Source organism: Homo sapiens, chromosome X (genome assembly GCF_000001405.40).
Source record: "Homo sapiens chromosome X, GRCh38.p14 Primary Assembly".
Taxonomy (NCBI): domain Eukaryota; kingdom Metazoa; phylum Chordata; class Mammalia; order Primates; family Hominidae; genus Homo; species Homo sapiens.
Window position 1 is genome coordinate 18,264,474 of NC_000023.11, and position 23,946 is coordinate 18,288,419.

The 23,946-nt window shown below is 40.0% G+C and overlaps 1 protein-coding gene across 6 annotated transcripts in view, besides 1 other annotated feature; it reads right to left on the bottom strand.

The window, feature by feature from the left end:
- The window catches only part of SCML2 (Scm polycomb group protein like 2), a 115,806-nt gene that overhangs the window by 25,161 nt on the left and 66,699 nt on the right, over positions 1–23,946 (bottom strand). For all 6 annotated transcript variants that reach the window (NR_033717.2, XM_017029219.2, XM_006724458.1 and 3 more), the window contains one exon: positions 1,112–1,329. Coding sequence is in view for 5 of the 6 variants with exons in the window: in XM_017029219.2 (XP_016884708.1) it covers positions 1,112–1,329 (218 nt within the window). In the remaining variant the exon portion in view is untranslated. The remainder of the gene's footprint in view (positions 1–1,111; positions 1,330–23,946) is intronic.
- Positions 14,308–14,808: an enhancer, noted in NCBI's record as "H3K4me1 hESC enhancer chrX:18296901-18297401 (GRCh37/hg19 assembly coordinates)". NCBI's record gives its function as "activates a minimal SCP1, AML or CMV promoter by ChIP-STARR-seq in primed H9 embryonic stem cells {active_cell/tissue: H9 hESC(primed)}" and the evidence as "EXISTENCE:reporter gene assay evidence [ECO:0000049][PMID:30033119]".

The following is a 23,946-nucleotide window of genomic DNA, read 5'->3' on the forward strand; positions in this document are numbered from 1 at the left end:
TGTGTGTCTGTGTAATGTCATCGAAGACCAGTTGAATAGCCACTTTAAAATTTTTGTTTGCTAGTTCTAATATCTGGGTTATACTTGGGTCTGTCTCAGTTGATTTTCTTTTTTCTTGAAAATATTATTCATTTTACTATGTATTTGGGTAATTGTGAATTACATTCCAGATGTTACAAATATTAATTTGTGCAGATTCTAAATTCTATATTTCTCTGATAATTGTTATTTCTTTTGTTTAGCTAGTAATTACCTTGGCTGGACTTGAACTTTAAATTCTGATCTTGGGCCTAATTTCATCCAGCCTCAGTTCAGATCTTTTGCTTTAGCTACACCGGCCTGTTGTGTATTAGACAAACATGCTCAGATCAGGGGTCTGTCAGAGACGTTGGTAGACAGAATTTGCAGATAACCTCTCTGGTCCTTTCCCTTCCAAAATCCCTCCATTCCCTTTAACAGCCACAGTTTTCCTGGCTTTTCTATTTTCTGGTTTCCCTAGGCCAGATAAATTGTTGTTTTTCTACTAATACTCCTGTTGTTTCACATGGTACACAAAGTGTACTTGACCTAAGGCTTAAAACCACAACAATGGAAACTCACTTTGTATAACACCCCTTATCCCAGTGAGTACTTCCCCTGCCACCAGAATCTGTCTGCTTCCATTCACTCTTCAGTGTCTTCAGGTTGTTGCTTTTTCTATTATTTCTAAGTTTTAGAGTTGACTCCAGCATTATTGAATTCATCAGATTGATTCTTCTCTCCCTGCCCCAGTTTATTGAGGTATAATATATGTACAGTAAGATTCACTTCACATTGATTTTTAAAGTATACTGAGTTTCAAACTAACTAGTCTGAACATAAATACACCCATGTATTAATAGTACTTTCATTGTGGTTTTGAAGAAGTAGAACACTATAAAAAGTTTTAAGTTTGCCCAAGCAAAGAAATAACAATCTATCGATAGTTATGTGAGGCTTTCAAAAGCCTACATACTCTTAGTACATTTCTAAAGACCCTCATCATACTCTTAGTAAATTCCTAAATTGTATGTTATAAATAATAAGGCACTATAAAAACCTATAATACAAATTAGGAGGACATACAACTAACCTTTTTTCCTGAGTTTGGACCTTTTTTCCTTGGTGTGATATTTTTAACAGAACTGCTCCTTTTGGGGACTGCAGTAGGTCCAGGTGGTTTAATTCGACTTGATCTCCTGACCTGCTGTGTTGGTAATATTAGAGTAGTTTTCTGTGGAGACTGCATTGAATGCTGGCTTGCTTCGGAAGGAGAAGACTCTGTTTTTGCTATATTCTTTACAATAGGAACTGAGGAAAAAAATACAAAAAATATTAAAGTAAATGACACAATTAAGGCATTGTCTCCTCATGACTCAAAATAAGTTTTACTCGACCTTTAAAACCATTTCCAAAGGTTATTCACTGAAAACCACTTAAAACTAAAAGTACCATCTGAAATGAAGTTTTAGGTATCCTAAGATTTCATATTATTTGAAAATAGTTTAATTCTCCAGAAAAAATAAAGCGGTTTTTATTAGAGGAATCAGTAACTTCAACTTAGCATGGTAAAAATTCCTAGCAACTTACCTATTAGGAACTTCCCATATTTTTATGGGAAGCACAAAAAGGAGTCTTTCCTTCAGAATACACTATCCAATTATGTCATATACAGGAATCATCTCTCACATCAACATAGAAAAACATAGCAAAGCAATTGCCTAGGGCTCCTGCTTCATGTTTCAGAGGGCAGGGGCTCCCTTGCTCTTGACTTTTTTCAGATTTAATGAGGTATAATTGGCAAATAAAAATTATATATTTAAGGTTGATATACATTATGTCCCTATATGTATGTCTACTAATAAAGTTTCATATACTAAAATAGAGACTTTACATTAATGTTGTCATGGAAAGATCACTATCAGGCCCAAGTGATTTGTAGCTACTAGTTTCCTTGTAGCCCAATACAGTTTCAATATTCAAATAAAGGTTACCTGCCAGGTTACTTTTGTCCATGTTCACATTTAAGTAAAAAGAGATATGTTTAGTATTAATTCCTTGATAATTTCATTATTACAAATAAATGAATTTTACATAGTAAAAAGCACTAATGCTTAAAAAAATTCTTTACAGGAAGAACTATGTAAGTGAAACATTTATACATCTATGCAAAAATCAACTACTGTTATTTTGAGGGCTTCATTTTACAACTCCAAACCAATCTGCTGCTTTGTTCCTCCCACACTCAAAGACTATGTACATGTAAATCTGACCCGCAATAGATAATACCACATCTTTCCTACGGCCTTTTCATCTACCTTCTACCACTTACCAAACCAAAAGGAAGGAACAGCCTATCCTGAGCTGCCAGGGCAAAGAGAGGACCACTTCACTGCCAACATCACTTTCCCCCTCATTTACAAGTAGTTTGCCTACTTACACCAGCCTCTTTTTACCTCATTGCCATCATCTACTTCATACTCCAGGCTCACTTCCACTTTTTTGAAAAAGTCCAGTAACCTAACACACATTATTTCTGCATACATAGTCTTCCTGTCTTCATCTTAAGGAATCTGACCATCGTACTCTTGGATGCTTCATCATCCTGACCTTATCACTGGAGAGTTCAGCTATTTCCTAAAATGGCTGTAGTTGGCAATTTCTGAAACTCTTGTATCTCCAAGACAACCAACCATGTCCCCTTTCTCCAATTCCAACTTCCTTACCTGTTATCTTTGCTTCAAACCAACTGATCAGGCTTTACATTCTCATTATGACATCTATCCACAAGCCCATATTCCATTTTCATGCAATCCATTAGCTTTCTTCTGGCTTTGCTTTACTCTCTACTCAACCTGCACCCAACTGTCCACCTCCACCAAAAACCCCTAACTAGTATACCTTCTTTTATCACCCTTTGATCTTTGATCATGTCCAGAATGTCAGTCCCCATCTCTGAGTCACACTATCATCTGCTTTCTCTGGTCCTGAGCTATAGAACAAGGGTTAGCTATCTTTTTCCAGGAAGGGCCAGAAACTAAATATCTCACGCTTTGAAGGCCACATAAGGTCTCTGTCGTACATTCTTTTTTGTTTGGGTTTTTTTTTTTTTGAGACGGAGTCTTGCTCTGTCACCCAGGCTGGAGTGCAGTGGCGCGATCTCAGCTCACTGCAAGCTCCGCCTCCCGGGTTCATGCCATTCTCCTGCCTCAGCATCCCGAGTAGCTGGGACTACAGGCGCCCGCCACTACGCCCAACTACGCCCAGCTAATTTTTTGTATTTTGTGGTAGAGACGGGGTTTCACCACGTTAGCCAGGATGGTCTCAATCTCCTGACCTCGTGATCCACCTGCCTCAGCCTCCCAGAGTGCTGGGATTACAGGTGTGAGCCACTGCGCCCAGCCCTTTTTTGTTTCTTTGTTTGCTTATTTTTCTACAACCAATTAAGAATATTAAAAAAATTCTTAGCTTATAAGCTACATGAGCTGGATGTGGCCCTCAGGCTATTGTTTGCCAACTCTTGCTTTAGAACATTAAGATGCTACTGGTGTCTATAAAATCCATGCTAACCTCAACTGAGGAGTCACTGCTGCAACTCACTGATTTCCAAGTATGTTTCCATGGTAGAAGGCTTTTCCCTATTTAAGTTCCCATCTCCCTTTCTCTCTTCCATTCAGGGAATGACCCAATCTTCTACTTTATGAGAAGATTAAAGGCTATCCCCTTTGGGGGTAAACTTAAAAATCCCATTTCTCTGGCTGGGCGCAGTGGCTCACACATGTAATCCCAGCACTTTGTGAGGCTGAGGCAGGTGGATCACCTGAGGTCAGGAGTTCCAGATCAGTTTGACCAACATGGTGAAACCCCATTTCTACTAAATAGACAAAATTAGCCAGGCATGGTGGTGCATGCCTGTAATCCCAGCTACTTGGGAGGCTGAGGCAGGAGAATCACTTGAACCCGGGAGGCAGAGGTTGCAATGAGCCGAGAATGCACCATTGCACTCCAGCCTGGACAACAAGAGTGAAACTTCATCTCAAAAAAAAAAAAAAATCCCATTTCTCCATCTTAAAATACTTTTTCAATCATTCTCATCTTTTTCTCTTACATCAAATGAAAAGTTTTCTCGGTGGGGGGAGGGAGGAGGGATAGCATTGGGAGATATACCTAATGCTAGATGACGAGTTAGTGGGTGCAGCGCACCAGCATGGCACATGTATACATATGTAACTAACCTGCACACTGTGCACATGTACCCTAAAACTTAAAGTATAATAATAAAAAAAAAAAGAAAAGTTTTCTCTCTAGTTTTCGAAGTCCAATCTTCTTTTATTTATGCCTTAACAACACCTTGCTTTGGTTCCTATGGGACATTTTGGTTTCAATTATCTCTTCTCTCCTCAATATTTGATCACTCAATCCCCAACTCCTTGCTGTCTCTTACTACTTTCACATATCCCTTATTTTGAAGTTACCTCCCTGTTTCTGATACACTTTCAAGCCCTTGAGGGAATTCCCTCTTTCCACTCACTACTATGAATAAAACATCAAGAAGAATTACCTATACTTGACATTTCAATTTCCTTATTATTCCATTTCCTTAGCCCCTGTAATAAACTTTTCTTCCCCCAAACATATTTTAAAGAAATTATTTTCCAAGGTCATTAAGTGACCTCTTTTTAGTTACTGAGATGGTTAGGCTTTGTGTCCCCACCCAAATCTCATCTTGAATTGTAATTTCCATAATCCCCACATGTCAAGGGAGAGACCAGGTGGAGGAAATTGAATCATGGAGGCGGTTTCCCCCATGCTGTTCTCGTGATAGTAAGAGAGTTCTCACGAGATCTGATGGTTTTATAAGGGGCTCTTCCCACTTCGCTCGGAACCTCTCTTTCCTGCTGCTTTGTGAAGAAGGTGCCTTGCTTCCTCTTTGCCTTCCACCATGAATGTAAGTTTCCTGAGGCCTCTCCAGCCATGCTGAACTGTGAGTCAATTAAACCTCCTTTATAAATTATCCAGTTTGGGGCAGTTCCTTATAGCAGTATGAAAACAGACTAACACAATTACTAAACCCAAATAAAATGTTCATTCTCTTGACCAATCTACTGATCTCTACAGTTCTAGTCCCCAACTCTAAATATATAGAATGAAGAAGAGGAATAATTGAGCTCCAGATCTGGGTTCAAATTCCTGTGCCAGGTTGGTTTAAGACAGAACCTAGGAATATAGGAGGTCCTCAAAAAATACTGAATGAACGAATGAAAAATATTTTCAGCCTGCAAGTCAATGTTATACCCCCAAAACTAGTATATTCTATATAAAATAAGCAGTTAAATTGTAGCAAATAGTAACTTTACAGAACATGGCAACTATAATGAAATCAATATTTGATCTAACTATTTTGGCATTTGAAAACTGAAGCTATAGTTTCAAATAGTCCCCTAAAGTATATATATTTGTTCTATATTATAATAAAAATTTTTTGATGTATGGCATATATGTATGTATGAGCAAAGTTAAAAACAAAGTACTATAAATTTTTTTTTTTTTTTTTGAGACAGAGTCTCACTGTGTCACCCAGGCTGGAGTGCAGTGGCATGATCTCGGCTCACTGCAACCTCCACCTCCCTGGTTCAAGCAATTCTCCTGCTTTAGCCTCCCAAGTAGCTAGGACTACAGGCGCGTGCCACCATGCCTGGATAATTTTTGTATTTTTAGTAGCGACTGGGTTTCACCATGTTAGTCAGGCTGGTCTCAAACTCCTGACCTCAGGCAATCCGCCCACCTGGCCTCCCAAAGTGCTGGAATTACAGGCATAAGCCACCGCGCCCGGCCAAAAATTTTTACATATGAACAAAATTTCACTTTAGAAAGCAGGCTTTTCAAAGTCAAGGACTCAGTTTTTTGGGGGTTTTTCATTTTTTGTTTGAGACAAGGTTTCACTCTGTCGTCCAGTGCCGACATGCAGGAGTGAAGTGATGTGATCATAGCTCACTGAAGCCTTGAACTCCTAGGCTCAAGTAATCTTCCCACCTCAGCCTCCTAAGGACTCGATTTTATTTATTGCCATATCCCCAGCACCTAGAATAAAATACTTTTTAAGCCGATTCAACTAAAAAGGAAAGAGTAACCATTCAATATATTACACATCAAAATTAAACTCCCAGGAGCAATCATATAACATACATATAGATATACATACATATATACACACACACACACCATGCTGAAACTCTATTCAGTATTAAACTACTTGAAATAGGAAATGGATTTGTTTAAATAAGGTTAAAACTATATATAAAACTTTATATGTTCATATGTATATGAACACACAAACTTTGTGTGTTCATAGTGGTCACAAAGTGAATAAAAATCTTTTTGAAAAAGTTATGTGAAATATAAAGAAGGATATGCTACTCATCTTTAATAAAACTTTTATGTAAACAACCAACACAAAATTTACCTGGTTCTTCAGCTTATCTTCAGACAGAACAGAAAATGTCCAGGTAAGAAAAACATCCAAGAAATGATAATTATTGAATTGTGGAAATGAAAAAGAAATTAACAAATCTTGGGAAACAATCTAGAAGGCAAGGAGTAAAGCCAACAGGGGGTCTGGAAGCCTGGAATGAGGGAAACTAGAGAAAGAAAGGAGATAGGTGCCAATATTTACTGGCTACCCATTACATGCTAGGCACTTCAATATCCATTATTGCATGAAATCCTCCCAAACATCCTATGAGGTAGATATTGTTTCCTCACTTTACACATGAGGAAACATAGGCTCTGTGAGGTTAGGTAACTGAGCCAAGAGCACCCATGTGGTTAAGAGTGTTTGCCTCCTAAGCTCATGCCTTTTCCAATATGCCACTCTGCTTTCTGTCCTGTAACAACAACAACAACAACAAAAAGGCCATCATCAAATTCACTCCCAAGTCAAGATGCATGTGTGTGTGTGTTTTTTTTTAATGACCCAGTGGACAACCTTGTGAACTCCTATGTGCTGTTTCACTATATAGTCAATAGTCAACAGGTGCTCTCTGACAGGGACTCTTGTTTAGAAAAAAAAAATCAGATGTGAAAGCATGTTTATAGGGAAAAATATTAACAAGCAGAGTATCCCCCCGTTATCCATATATTCTGGGGGATACATTCTGAGATGCTCCCCCACCCCCCTGCCCAGTGGATGCCTGAAACTGCCGATAGTATCAGACTCCATATATACTATGTACGAATTTTTTTTCCCTTCTTTGCAATTTCATAGATAAAAGTTTTGTTCTTACTGTAGACCTTGGCAACCTAAGCATATGATTTTTGTCTTTCCTTATTCAGTCAACAACTTTCACCTTTTCACTTAAAGGAAGCCTAGAGTTCATATACACTCAGCTGTGCTGCCCAATGCCTCTGCTTGGAACTTTGCTCCCTGTCCCACAGAACCCAGATTGCCACAAACTAATCAATCATGGGCAGCAATAAGAGCAAAGGGGAGGTAGGTCAGGTATAAACCCCGTGAGCTTCCTTCATTTGCTCCTGCTGCCATCCCATACCATAACACTGGCTTCCTTGACTGGTGTCTTCAGATACTGCTCTATTTCTTCTCTCCCTTCCCCCTACCTGTATCAGAAGAGCCACTCGTCCCATCCCAGAGGTCAACCTTGCTTTGGGAATTAAACATTCGTAACAACCAAGTCTGCTCTTCCTCTGAAAATACCTTTTGAATACTCAAGGACTGTTACTGTCAGATAAGAGTGACTTTACCTCTCCATAAGCATAGAAGTCCTTTAAATGTATGTTTATTTCCTTATTTTCAGCAACAACAAAATACCCTTTAAGAACACCTCAAAGGCTGAGGAAAACTCTAGAAGGAAACCACAAGGGGTAGATACCAGTGGAAAGGAAAACAAGGAAGCATGTTCCTGGTACTTATCACAACAGGCATCTGGAAGTCAGAAGCCAGCTGAACACTAAGAATTTTCTCAGAAGAGGTGGGGTAGAGATCACATGGACATGGGGCTCTGTTACCAATTGCTCTTTACAGCTATTCCTTTCCCTGCTTCTCACTATCTATTGTAGGAACACTGGTTCCATACTAATTAGGTTCAAATCCAGCTTCGCCACACAATACCTCCTATGAGATTTGGGGCAGATTATTTAAATTTTGCACGTGGCACATTTAATCAACAGCAGCAACACTCACATCACCATCCCTGTCTCTATTCCTACCCTCCTTTCCCAGGCCCTAAAGGTGTTCCTTGCCCTCTTCTATCAATGGATTAGAGACTGGGGAAGGCTTGCCGCCACTGCCTGACAAATGGAAGGAAAAAAGTTTCCTCCAAAGAAGGAAATCCTACTTACCTACACTCTCCCCAGCTAATACCTTCTCTATTTCCTTTTAAGACTAAGCTTCTTTAAAGACTAGTCCATGTTCACTATTATTACGATTTTCTCATTTTTAACCTGCTATAACAACATTTCCACAGATACAACCTTTTAGGGAACCTTTGTGTGTTAATATCACCAACAACTTCCTAACAGCCATTGACAATGGATGCCTCTTCCTGATCTTACTTGATTTTTAGCACTAGACACTCTGCCTTCTTTTCAAAATTCTTTAAGTCTCACATAGCAACTCTTTCCTGAGTTCCCTCCTACTTCCGTCACTTTTCCAGTAGTGTTCCTCATGATTGACTGCCTTCTCCCCCATCCCCACCTCAGTTTTGAGTGCTCTAGTTCAGTCCCATTATTTCAGCTACTGCCTATAGTAATGATTACCAAATCATTCACTCTCACGTTCTCTTGCCTGCTCAAGTGCATGCATACTTGTGCACATGCCTGCATACTCTCTCTCCCTCTCTCTAGCATAGGCCTCTTGCAAGTTCCAGAGATGTTTTCAATAGCCAACTAGATATCTACATAAGCATCCCAAATTCAACATTTCCAAAAGTAGAATTCATTTTGTTTATCCTAAATTCTCTATCTTGATGAACGACATTACCTATCTGAAGTCAGAAATCTTGAAGTCATCCTTGTATGCTTCCTCCCTCCAAATGTCTAGCCAAGCCTACCTCCCAAGTATTTCCCAGATGTGTTATTCATGCCTGTCAATGACTTGATTCAGGACCTCATAATGATAGAAACAGGAGGCAGAGAAATTCTGGGAGGGTGGGTTCCCAGCAAGGGCCTTACCCTCAAGCCAAAAAGCTTGATACCATGGCCCAAAGTGAGAACTTACATCTCTGTTTTACTGCTCAAATGTTGCCTTTTCCAAAACCACCCATGGCCCCCCTTACCCCCCATCCTGTGCCCATAAAAACCCCAGTCTCAGCTGGCAGAGTGAGGAGAAGTAGCTGGACCTCAGAGACTATGGTTGGACATCACAGAGAAGCGGCTTCACTTCAGAGGGACAGCTTGCCAGTGTAGCTTCAGGGGAGGATTGCCTTCCCACTCCATCCCCTTTTCAATTCCCCATCCCACTGAGAGCCACCTCCATCAGCAATAAAATCCCCCACATTTACTATACTTCAAATTCACTCATGCAACCTCATTCCTCCTGGATGCCAGACAAGAACTCAGGTGCCACAAGTGCGAGTGCAAAAGGCTGTCACACTGACCCTCCACTGAGCTGTTAACACTTAAGCCATCTGTGGATGGCAGAGCTAAAAGAACACTGACTGTTAACACTCCCTCTGGGGCTTCAGGGGTCACAGGTACCCCCCTAGATGCTGCCATGGGGCCCCCATGGAGTTCACTCCTTCCAGCGCCCAAAAGCACTCGCCCCAGCTCCTGCACCTGCCCACCTGTATGTTCCTCTTCCCACAAGGGGTGGAATGTAGCAGGTCCAAGTGAGTGGAGTTTGCCCCTGCCGGCACCAAAGCAGCCAGCTAGTGCACTCCAGTTCCCACCCATGAAGGGGTCAGGGAAATATCCTGCTTCAATAACCTCTCACATAAGCTACATTAGCCTCTTAATTGCCATTCCAGGCTGCCCTTTCTGATCCATACTCTAGCCCATAAGCATGATCTTTAGAAAATACAAATTTATGTCACTTTTCCACTTGAAACTCTTCAGTGATGCCACATTACCTACATGCTAAAATCTTAATTCCCTGGTCTGCTGTCTAAGGCCCTCTACTATCTGCCCTCTGTGTATCTTCATAGCCCCATCTTTTTTCCCAGCTGTCATTATAGATTCTGCCATAATCATCTGTGTAAACCAAAAAATAAAATTCTAAGCCCCACTCCCAACCATCGGAATGGACTTCCCCCTAGGATAGGGCACTTTAAAATTTAACCTGAAAGACTGGTTCAGGTCTGATGAGAAACAGGGGTCGGATATGCCTCGTTATACCTCTCCAGCATTAATATCAACACAGACCTTTAGTCTGATAAGAAACATTTATGATCTATTCTCTCTGAAGCCTGCTACCTGCAGGTTTCATCTACATGATAAAACTTGGTCTCTACAACCTCATATCACAACCCAGACATTTCTTCCTACTGATAACTCTTTCAACCAATTGCCAATTCGAAAAATTTTAACTCTATGACCTGGAAGTCCCCCCACCTTCGAGCTGTCCCACCTTTCTGGACCAAACCAATGTATTTTCTTAAATGTATTTGATTGCAGTCTCATGTCTCCCTAAAATGTATAAAACCAAGCTGCACCCTGACCACCTTGGGCACATGTTCTCAGGATCTCCTGGGGGCTGTGTCACATGCCAGGGTCACTCATATTCGGCTCAGAATAAACCTCTTCAAACATTTTACAGAATTTGACTTTTCGTCAACATCTGCTCAGGCTTCCATTCTCACTCTTTCTGTCTTCACAGAGATCGATCCTCCTTTCAGGAAAGGGCTTCCCTTCCTTGTTGTCAATGGCTAAACTATTACACATTCTTTGAAATTCTGCTCAACTACCAGCTCTGTAAAATTCTAGCAATAAGTTACCCAGGCAAACATAGGACCATGATGCTCACACAGCACACATACTGTATGTATTTATCTCTATTGGCATAGACCTTATAACATCTTATCTTTATTTACATATATCTATCTGTCCCACCACACTGTGAGTTCCCTTAGGAGAAGGAACTATGTTAAGTTCCACTGTTATATCTCAAATATCTGGTCTAGGGCCTACCATATAATGTGCATCCAATAAATGTTTGCTGATTGTTAATGTTAATGACTGTTTAAAATTCAGGTTTTGTCTCTGATCTTATGTTCTCATAGAAACAATTCAGGGTGTTTATGCATTAAATTGACTACTATAGCTTGATCGTAACATTTTACCATTTTCTTGGCAAAAGTAAGCTTCAAATACTCATCGACCAACTTAATTTTTAGAATATATTCAAAACAGAAGGAAGAACTGCAAATTTAGGTACCACTTCATACTCACTAGGATGGCTATAATAAAAAAGATGACAAATAACAACCGTTGGCAAGGATGTGGAGAAATCAGGACCCTTGTACACTGCTAGTGAGAATGTAAAGTGGTGCAGCTGCTGTGAAAAACAGTTTAGCAGCCGGGCGCAGTGGCTCACGCCTGTAATCCCAGCACTCTGGGAGGCCAAGGCAGGCAGATCAGCTGAGGTCAGGAGTTCGAGATCAGCCTGGCCAACAGAAACCCCGTGTCTACTAAAAACACAAAAATCCGCCAGGCGTGGTGGTGCACACCTGTAGTTCCGCTACTCGGGAGCATGAGGCACGACAATTGGTTGAACCCAGGAAGCGGAGGTTGCAGTGAGCCAAGATTGCACGACTGCACTCCAGCCTGGGTGACAGAGCAAAACTCAGTCTCAAGAAGAAAAAAAAAAAAAAAACAGTTTGGCAGTTCTTCAAAAAAATTAAATTACCATATGAGCTACCAATTCCACTCCTAGGTACAGATCCCAAAGAACTGAAAAGACGTACTCATATATATGTGAGTGGAATTGGTAGCTCATATGGTAGTAGTGCTGCTATGAACATGGGTGTGTATGTATGTATTGACATACATACATACGTATACATACATTGACATACATACATACACACCTATGTTCACAGCAGCACTATTCACGGTAGCCAAAAGGTGGAAAAAGCCTAAATGTCCATCAACGGAGAAATGGATAAGCAAATTGTGACATATCCATACAAAGGAATAGTATTCAGTCATAAAAAGGAATGAAGTACTGATATATGCTACAACATGTATAAACCTTGAAGGCATTATGCTAAGTGAAAGACACAAAAGGTCACACCTTGTATGATCCCATTTACACAAACTATTAATATCTAGAATAGGTAAATCCATAGAGACAGAATATAGATTGGTGATTAACAAGGGCAAGGGGGAGAAAGAAATGGGGAGCAACTGTTTAATGGGCACAGGGTTTTCTTTTAAGGTGATAAAAATGTTTCAGAATAAAATGGAGGTGATGGTTGCACAACATAGTGAATGTACTAAATGCTCTTGAATTGTTCGTTTTAAAATGGCTAATTTTATGTTATGTGAATTTCACCACATCTAAAAAAAAAAAACCAAAAACAAACAAAAAAACCAACCTTGGGATAAATAAAAACAAGGAAGAAAATTTGTTTCTGTTTTTGTTTGAGACAAGGTTCTCACTCTGTCACCCAGGCTGGAGTGCAGTGGTGTGATCATGGCTCACTGCAGCCTCGACTTCCCAGGCTCAAGAGATCCTCCCACTTCAGCCTCTCAAGTAGCTGGGACTACAGGCATGCACCACCACACCCAGCTAACTTTTTTATTTTTTGAAGAGACAGAGTTTCACCATGTTGCCCAGGCTGGTCTCAACCTCCTGGCCTCAAGCAATCCACCCACCTCGGCCTCCCAAAGTGCTGGGATTATAGGCATGAGCCACCATGCCAGGTCCAGGAAGGAAATTTGCAAACCTCAAATGTGCCATAGACTCTGCATATAGTATTAAAATTTGTCTTTACAATTTTGTGAAGCAAGTGTTATCTCTATTTTAAATATGAATAAACAGAGGCTCAGCAAGATAAGTAACCACCCAACCCAGTATCACACATTAGTCTAGAAGTGGTAGAACTAGGATTCAAATTCAGAACTGTCTTACCCAAAAGCTTATGCTCTTTGTTTAAACTGGGTACTATTTTTAATTAATGAGGAGGAAAATGAAAAGAGATCTTTTAATCAAAATATTTTCTTCTATAAACTTAAACATAAAACAGAATTAAATATTTTGGTTAAATATGTTTTTCACGTTCAAATTTGAGGGAGCTTACATAAACCACAAAAAAAAAGAACAAAGTAGTACAGAAAACAAATATCGACATGCCCTTCCTTAATAATCCAGTGTAATAGGGGAGAAGATGGCCAACTAGACACAGCAGGAAGTGCCGTTCCCACCAAGAGAGGCCAAATTAGCTGGGTGTGGTAGCTCACACCTGTAATCCCAGCACTTTGGGAAGCCGAGGCGGGAGGATCACTTGAGCTCGGGAGTTCGACATCAGCCTGGGCAACATGGTAAAACCCCATCTCTACAAAAATTAGCCAGATGTGGTGGCACACGCCAGTAGTCCCAGCTACTTAGGAGGCTGAGGTGAGAGGATCACTTGAGCCTGGAAGGCAGAGACTGCAGTGAGCTGAGATCATGCCACTGCACTCCAGCCTGGGCAACAGAGTGAGACCCGATTTTGAAATTAAATAAATAATAAAAGAGAGACACCAAATTATCAACTAAAGCACCATAATTTGGGCAGATCTTTGGGGAGAAAACACCAAGAGTGAATGGATAGGCACCACTGAAGCAAAGGCTGAAGAGGGAGGAAGCTGGGAACCCTGCACAGGGTACCCGAATGCAAGGCTAGCTCCCAGCCCTGAACAGCTCCTGAGAAAGGGGTAAAAGAACTGAAGGACAACTCACTCTGGCCACGGACCTCTGTGACTTTAGCTACAGAGGACCCTGCATCCCCCATGGACATGTGAATTGGCAGGGGGATCTACCCGGGAAGGAGGCAGAGACAGGCCTTTGGATGGTGCAGAGCCCAGGAGGTTTTATGTGCTGGGCAGCTCTGGCAGAGAGCAGCCACAGACACCCAGCTGATCTCTGAGCCAGGAGAGAGCTGGGCCAGCTTCCCCATGGGACTGGAGCATGCCTGCTCTGCAAGCCCTCCTGCCACCAGCCCCTCCCAGGCCCAATGCCTAGCTACTGTGCAGGAGCAGGTGCACGGCACAGCCCCTGCAGCCCAGCCTGAGTGCCTTGCTGCAACTGATTACTTTCCTAGCAACCAAGAAGCACATCAGATCCCCCAGCACAGCTGGAACCTGACCAGGAGCCACGGAAAGTTCCAGTTCCTCCACGGCTGCAGCCTGCAACTAGGGAGTATACAGCTGAGATCTGTGGCTGCCACTCGAGGAGAGGAGGGGTACCCACCCTCAGAGCCCTGAGAGGGGCAAGACATGTAGGTTCCTGAGCCAGGGCGGGAGCAGGGTGTGCCTCCCTCGGAGGGCCGGTCCAGAAGGGGTGTGGTGTATTTCTCCACTGCAACCCCTGCCCGACAGGACACCACAACCTGGAAAACCTAACAAAAGAATCACAAGCACAACAGTCATCAGAGGGGGCTCCCCCAAGGCCCAGGAGCAGACCTGGGAGGGGACCACTTCTCTTCCTCTGTACCCCACTATAGAGCATGCCTGTGGACACGAGGAAGTACAAAAGCGTGGATGGGTACTAACCTAACAACCTACAGCTATTACTGTCAAGTGCCATCTACTGGATCACAGCACAAACTACAAAACGAAAAATTATTGGGCTAATAAATACACCTATAAATCAAATGTAAGAATTCACCTACACATAAAGATCCTGCACAGGGCACTGGCCCCTTGAAAGCATCCAGAAATGAAGCCAATGGACTATACTCAACTTACACCACAGTTAAAGGAACACCAACCCTCCTAGATGAGAAAGAATCAGCACAAGAACTTTGGCAATTCAAAAAGCCAGAGTGTCCTCTTTACCTCCAAAGGAGTCTACTAGCTCCCCAGCAATGGTTCTTAATCAGTCTGAAATGACAGACACAGAATTCAGAATCCGGATGCGCAAGGAGGCTCATTAAGATTCAAGAGAAAGCTGAAATCCAATCCAAAAAATCCAGTAAAACAATGTGAGAGGTGAAAGACAAAATAGCCATTTTAAGAAAGAACCAAACTGAACTTCTAGAACTGAAAAACTCACTACAAGAATTTCATAATACAATCAAAAGTATTAACAAGTAGAAGAGACCAAGCTGAGGAAAGAATCTCAAGAGCTCGAAGACTACTTCTTTGAATCAACTCAGTCAGGCAAAAAGAAAGAAAAAATGATTTTTAAAAACGAACAAAATCTCTGAGAAATATGGGATTATGCAAAGAGACCAAATCTATGACTCACTAGCATTTCTGAGAGAGGACAGAGAATAAGCAACTTGGAAAATATATTTGACGATACAGTCCATGAAATTTTCCCTAATCTCACTAAAGAGGTTGACATGCAAACAGAAGAAATACAGAGAACACCAGCTAGACGGTCAAGACAACCATCCCCAAAGCACATAGTTATGAGATTCACCAAGGTCAATGCAAAAGAAAAAATTTTACAGGCAGCCAGAAATAAGGGTCAAGTCATGTACAGAGGGAATCCCATCAGACTATCAGTAGACCCTCAGCAGAAACCTTACAAGCCAGAAGATATTGGGAGCCTATTTTCAGTGTCCTTAAAGAAAAGAAATTCCAACCAAGAATCTCATATGCCACCAAATGAAGCTTCATACATGAGGGAGAAATAAAATCCTTCTCAGACAAGCAAATGCTGAGAGAATGCATTTCAACTAGACCAGCCTTACAAGAGATCCTTAAGGGAGTGTGAAACATGAAATTGAAAGAATGACACCTGCTACCACGAAAACCCATTTAAGCACATAGCCCACAGGCACTATAAAGCAAGTATGCAATTAAGTCTACATAACAACCAGCTAACAACACAATGACAGGATCAAAATCATACATATCAGTACTAACCTTGAATGTAAATGGGCTAAACACTCCACTTAAAAGACACAGAATGGCAAGCTGAATACAAAGACAAGACCTAACCATCTGTTGTCCTCAAGACACCCATCTTACATGTAACAACACTCATAGGCTCAAAGTAAAAGAATGGAGATCTATCACACAAACAGAAAACAAAAAAGAACAGGAGTCGCTATTCTTATATCAGATAAAACAGACTTTAAACCAATAAAAAATAAGATAATGAAGGTAATTATATAATGATAAAGGGTATGATCCAACAAGAAGTCTTAACTATGCTAAATATATATGCACCCAACACTGGAGCACCCAGATTCATAAAACAAGTTCTTCCTGGCCTAAGAAAAGACTCAGACAACCACACAATAATACTGAGAGACTTCAACACCTCACTGATAGTGTTAGATCACTGAAGCAGAAAACTAATAAAGAAATTCTAGACTTAAACTCAACACTTGACCAACTGGACCTAATAGACATCTACAGAATACTCCACCCAACAACCACAGAATATATATCCTTCTCATCTGCACACAGAACATATTCTAAAATCGACCACACACTCAGTCATAAAGCCAAGTCTCAATAAAACTAAAAAAAACTGAAATCATACCAAGCACACTCTTGGGCCACAGTGCAATAAAAATAGAAATCACTACCAAGATCTCTCAAAACTACATAAATACATGGAAATTAAACAACTTGCTCCTGAATAACTCCTGGGTAAACACCAAAATTAAGGCTGAAATCAAAGCATTCTTTGAAATTAATAAAAATAAGGAAACAACTTACCGAAATCTCTGGGATGCTGCTAAAACAGTGTTAAAAGGAAAGTTTATAGTCCTAAATGCCTTCATCAACAAGTTACAAAGATCTCAAATTAAAAATCTAACTTTGGGCCAAGCACAGTGACTCCGGCCTGTAGTCCCAGCACTTTGCGAGGCCAAGGCAGGTGGATTGCCTGAGGTCAGGAGGTCGAGACCAGCCTGGCCAACATGGCAAAACCCCGTCTCTACTAGAAATACAAAAATTAGCCGGGCGTGCTGGCAGGCACCTGTAATCCCAGCTACTCGGGAGGCTGAGGCATAAGAATCACCTGAACCTGGGAGGCGGAGGTTGCAGTGAGCTGAGATCGCACCACTGCATTCCAGCCTGGGGGATAGAGTGAGACTCTGTCTCAAAAAAAAAAAAAAAAAAATCCAACTTGGCACCTAAAGGAACTAGAAAGAAAAAAAAAAACCAACCCCCAAAGCTAGCAGAAAAAAGAAATAACTAAAATTAAAGGCAAATTTAATAAAAGTGAGACATAGGCTGGGCGCTGTGGCTCACGCCTGTAATCCCAGCACTTTGGGAGGCCAAGGTGGGTGGATCACCTGAGGTCAGGAGTTCAAGACCAGCCTGATCAACATGGAGAAACCCCATCTCTACTACAAATACAAAATTAGCTGGGCGTGGTGGCGTGCACCTGTAATCCCAGCTCCTTGGGAGGCTGAGGCAAGGGAATCACTTGAACCCAGGAGGCAGAGGTTGCAGTGAGCCAAGATCGCGCCACTGCACTCCAGCCTGGGCAACAAGAGTGAAATTCCGTCTCAAAAAAAACAAAAACAAAACTGAGACGCAAAAATCCATACAAAAGATCAAGGAAACCAAGAGTTTGTTCTTTGCAAAAATAAACATGATTGATAGACCACTAGCTAGGTTAACAAAGAAAAAAAAAGAGAAAATAGAAATAAGTACAATCAGAAATGATAAAGATGACGTTACAATTGATCCCACAGAAATATAAAAGATCCTCAGAGAATACTATGGACAACTCTATGCAAGGCCGGGCGCGGTGGCTCACACTTGTAATCCCAGCACTTTGGGAGGCCGAGGTGAGTAGATTGCTTGAATCCAGGAGTTCGAGACCAGCCTGGGCAACATAGTAAAACCCCGTCTCTATTAACAATACAAAAATTAGCCAAGCATAGTAGCACACACCTGTAATTCCAGCTACTTGTGGGGCTGAGGCGAGAGGATCACTTGAGCCCAGGAAGTTGAGGTGGCAGTAAGCCAAGATCACGCCATTGCACTCCAGCCTGGGTGACAAAGTGAGACCCTATCTCAAACAAACAAACTAACAAAACCAACAAAACTCTACACACACAAATTAGAAAATCTAGAGGAAATGGATAAATTCCTGGAAACAAACAATCTCCCAAGATTGAATAAGAAAGAGATTGAAACCCTGACTAGACCAATATCATGCTCTGAAATTGAATCAGTAATAAAAAACCTGCCAACCAAAAGAAGCCCCAGAACAAATGAATTCACAGCCGAATTCCATCAGACATACAAAGAAGAGCTGGTACCAATCCTACTGAAACTATTCCAAAAACCTGAGGGGGAAGGACTCCTCCTGAACTCATTCTATGAAGCTAGCATCATTAGCCTAATACCAAAATCTGGCAGAGACATGACAAAGAAAAAAAAACTTCAGGCCACTATCCCTGATGAATACAGAGGCAAATATCCTCAACAAAATACTAGCAAACTGAATCCAGCAGCACATCAAAAAGTTAATTCACCACGATCAAGCAGGCTTTATTCCTGGGATGCAAGGTTGGTTCAACACACACAAATCAATAAATGTGATTCAACACATAAACAGAATTAAAAGCAAAACCACACAATCATCTCAATAGGTGCAGAAAAAGCTTTCGATAAAACCCAACATCTCTTCATAATAAAAACCCTCAATAGACTGGGCATCAAACAAACATACCTCAAAATAATAAGTGCCATCTATGACAAACCCACAGCCAACATCATACTAAATGGGCAAAAGCTGGAACCATTCCCCTTAAGAACTGGAACAAGTCAAGGATGCCCACTCTCACCACTTCTATTCAACATAGTACTGGAAGTTCTAGCCAGAACAGTCAGAAATAAAAAGCATCCAAACAGGAAAAGAAGAAGTCAAACTATCTCTCTTCAGTGATGATATGTTCTATACCTAGGAAACCCCGAAGACTCTGCCAAAAGGCTAGTAGAACTGATACATTATTTTAGCAAGGTTTCAGGATATAAAAATCCATGCGGAAAAATGAGTAACATTTCTACATACCAATAATATCCAGGCTTAGAGTCAAATCAAGAACACAATCCCATTTACAACAACCACAAGGAAAATGAAATATCTAGATACAGGTAACCAAGAAGGTGAAAGATTTCTACAAGAAGAACTATAAACACTGCAGAAAGAAATTAGAGATCACACAAATAGATGGAAAAATATCCCATACTCATGGATTGGAAGACTCAATATCATTAAAACAGCCATACTGTGTAAGGCAATTTACAGATTCAACACTATTGCTAACAAACTATTAGTGTCATTCTTCACAAAATTAGAAAAAAACTATTCTAAAATTCATACCGAACCAAAGGAGAGCCCAAATAACCAAAGCAATCCTACACAAAAAAGAACAAAGCCAGAGGTATCACACTACCCAACTTTAAACTATACTATAAGCATGGTACTGGTACAAAAACAGACAGACCAATGGAACAGAACAGAAAACCCAGAAATAAAGCCATATACCTACAACCATCTGATCTTGTGCAAGACCAACAAAAACAAACAATGGAGAAAGGACTCCCTAATTCAATAAATGGTGCTGCGATAAGTGGCTAGCCATATGCAGAAGAATGGAACTAAACCCTTACCTTTCACCATATACAAAAATTAACTCAAGATGGATTAAAGATTCAAATGTAAGACCTCAAACTATAAAAATCCTAGAAGAAAACCTAGCAAATACCCTCTCAACATTGGCCTTAGCAAAGAATTTTTAGCTAAGTCCTCAAGAGCCAGTGCAACGAAATTGACAAGTGGGAGCTAATTAAACAAAGGAGCTTCTGCACAGCCAAAGAAACCATCAGCAGAATAAACAGACAACCTACAGAATGGGAGAAAATATTCACAAAATACACATCCAACAAAAGTCTAATATCCAGAATCTATAAGAAACTTAAATCAACAAGCAAAAAATAAATAACCCCATTTAAAAATGGACACAGAACATGAACAGACACTTCTCAAAAGACATACATATGGCCAACAAACATGAAAAAATGCTCATCATCACTAATTATCAGAGAAATGCAAATCAAAACCACAATGACATACCATCTCACACCAGTCAGAATGGCTATTATTTAAAAAGTCAAAAAACAACAGACGTGGCCGGGTGTGGTGGCTCACGCCTATAATCCCAGCATTTTGGGAGGCTGAGGCGGGTGGATCACCTGAGGTCAGGAGTTCAAGACCAGCCTGACCAACATGGAAAAACCCCGTCTCGCACTAAAAATACAAAATTAGCAGGCACAGTGGCACATGCCTGTAATCCCAGCTACTCGGGAGGCTGAGGCAGGAGAATCGCTTGAACCTGGGAGGTGGAGGTTGCAGTGGGCCAAGATCGTGCCATTGCACTCCAGCCTGGGCAACAAGAGCGCAACTCCGCCTCAAAAAAAAAAAAAAAAACAGATGTTGGCAAGGCTGTAGAGAAAAGGGGACACTTATACATTGTTGGTGGGGACATAAATTAGTTCAGCCATTGTGGAAAATAGTTTGGAGATTCCTCAAAGAACTCAGAACTACCATTCGGCCCAGCAATCCCATTACTGAGTATATACCCAAAGGAAAACAGATTATTATACCAAAAAGACACATGCACTCATATGTTCATTGCTGCACTATACACAATAGCAAAGACGTGGAATCAATTTAGGTGGCCATCAATAGTAGACTAGACAAAGAAAATGTGGTACATATACACCATGGAATACTAGATAGCCATAAAAAAGAATGGAATCATATCCTTTGCAGCAACATAGATGGAGCTGGAGGCCATAATCCTAAGCAAATAAACACAAGACCAGAAAATCAAATACTGCATGTCCTCACTTATACGTGAGAGCTAAACACTGAGCACACATGGACATAAACATGTGAACAATAGATATTGCAGACTACGGGGGGGTGAGGAGGAGGAGAGGTTGAAAAATTAATTATTGGGTACTATGCTCACTACCTGGATGCAATATACCCATGTAACAATCCTGTACATGTACCGTCTGTATCTAAAATAAAAGCTGAAATCTAAAAATAATAAGTCCATGTTTAGGTGCTTTAGTTTTTTGTTTTTTCCTCAAAAAAATTGAGTTTTTTCAATTCTCTTGACTAAATATACCTTTAAGAAAAACTATTGCACCAAATATTGGTGGAGTACCTTCTGATAGTCTTTCTTGACAATTTAAATTTTCCTGTGGAATTTCTCTAATTCATATATTTACAATCGGACCACATTTTAAGTCTGTTAGCTACCAGAATAACAGAATAAGAATACCTAATTAGATGAGATGAAATTAATACAATTCTGTGTACATAGAATAGAATACAACATATGCTTTTTAAAAGATGCCCTCAATTGGTCTCAATGACTACTGGCAATTAAAATTTGATTTTTAATTAAAATATTCTAATCCTTATATACCAAAATATTAGCAGTGATAATCTACAGATGGCAAGAATACATGTAGTTTTCAGATTTTCCTCTTATCACTTATTTTCTAAATGTTCTATAATACATACCAATTTTGTCATTAAAAATACAAAATGTCCCCAAAAAAACAAACAACTTAGCCACTTCTTTGAGTAACAATAGAACCAGCCATTCTAAATACATAGATGTCTCTAAAGAAAATGATGATTTAACATTAGCATTATAATATTCTATTTAGATAAACAGCTATAAAATTTTTAGACTAGCATATGTGAACCTATTAAAAATAACATTAGAAATACCCACGCAGGCTCACTGCATGCCAGCAGTGACCTTTAGAATCCTCACAAATAAAACACAATAATCTGCAACTCAGTCTCCAGCAATTTCAGAATTAAAGAATAGATCACCTCAGTACTACAGGCAGTAATCATTCAAAGAAACTGACTCAGCAGAACATAATGGTAAAAGCATTTCTGTTGCCCAAGTAGCTGACCGTCAGAAACACACAGTGTCTACCTCCATGCATAGTAACAGGGCATCCTCTGTTCTAGTCAGACATCCCTCCCACACCTCAACCTTGCCTCCCACAGGTTAGCACTCTTCCTTGTATCATCACTTAAAAACTTCTCTGAGATACTACTTTTTCATTCTTTCTCCCACTTCCTACTGTACCCAAAACGAGCACAAAAGGCCCTTTTGTTCCCCTCCCTTCATTTTCAAAGATTTGTTTTGCAACTGATCACCACAAGGAAAAGGGATGAAGTTACAAAGGAAAACACAGTCTTTAATTTTCAGTGGTAGCTGTTCCAGTTTTTATAAAAATTGTACCTGCCTTTTCATATTTTAACCCTTGTTGGACCTTGCACCAATTTCCCTATTTGAACCAGAGGGTTCTCTTCATCTATCAAGCAGAGATGGATGACATGGCCAGAGTTCAAGAGCTAAAACAAGCCCAGAATCTGCTGCCTTAGCTCCTTCACCATCCTTCCTGAGTCTCCTTGATGGTCCATGTAGGTTTCCCTCTCAACACCAAAGATATCAGTTTTACAGTATTAAAAATTACATGTTTAACACATATAATAAAAAGCAATTCCGACACAAAAAGAAAGAAATCACTCACTCAGAAAAGTAAAGATTTCGTTTAAATTAGATTGCTTTGGGGGTCTGACAGAACTTCTCATTAGGAAGCGCTGTTACGTCTTTTCCAGCAGCTTTTAAAAATTAGGTCTGGGTAACTAAACCAAAACCAAATATATTGAAAGGATCTATAGTTTTGATTCACTCCCTCCTCCCCCACTTCAAAACAGGGCTTGGGGACCTAAGATAAACAGATTAAAGAAGGAAGAAGAAACACTTCATATATCTTATAAAACATTATACCTTAATCTGCATAGAATATTCTATCTTAAGGTTACTGGAATCTTGCAATGTTACTGGGAAAAATTTCCCAAACCCAATGAGACATTAAAGGATAGTTCTCTAACCTGTATTTTGTTTAAGAAACAAAAGACCAGCTAAAGTTGTTCTCTACCGCCATACCTAAGTGACAATGCCATTTTAAGTTGGCATATATGCTAAATTAAAATAAGAAAATCTAATTTAGTAAAATTTACATCGTTTCCCTACCCTGTTATATAATTATATCCCCATAAGTATTCAGCCTAGAAAGAAAATCATAAAAATGCAAGAACAAGCTAGAAATCACAATTAGAATTTAGAAAGGCTCTAAGAATCTTGTTTTTAAAACATGTTTGTTTTCTACTTGCCAATCAACCACTGACACTATTTGTAAACTACTCCCCCCTTCAGCCTCATGGGGGATGCTTCTTATGAAGACTATTTTATTTCACAATTGCTACTCATATGTGCTTACTTCAAAAGAACCAAGATTTTGGTCAAAATGACATTATTAAAAATATGATAATCTCCATAGCTTTTAATATTTTCAGAAGAAAGTTCACACAAAAAGAAGCAACTTCAGTTGTTTTAGGTCAATTCATAATTCATCTAGCAACATGAGCTTTTAAAAGCCACTCAATTTTTAAACCTTAGTATCTTGTTTCTTCCTAAATTATTTCTACAGAGTAACTTCCATTATGCTACTGTTAAAAAAAAATCTTAGCTGTCTCTGCTACAATTTCCAAAAAAACACATCAGATGTATTAATATATTTAATTAGTAAAATGTTATTCACATTTTTGTATCATAAAAAAACTTTTAATAAATCTCAGGTAATACCAGTAAAAAAGCATTTACTGTCACATCCCTAAAAACTATTTTTTAAAAAATGACAACAGTGTCATTACAAACTGGTGATTTAAATGATCAAACTTGACTT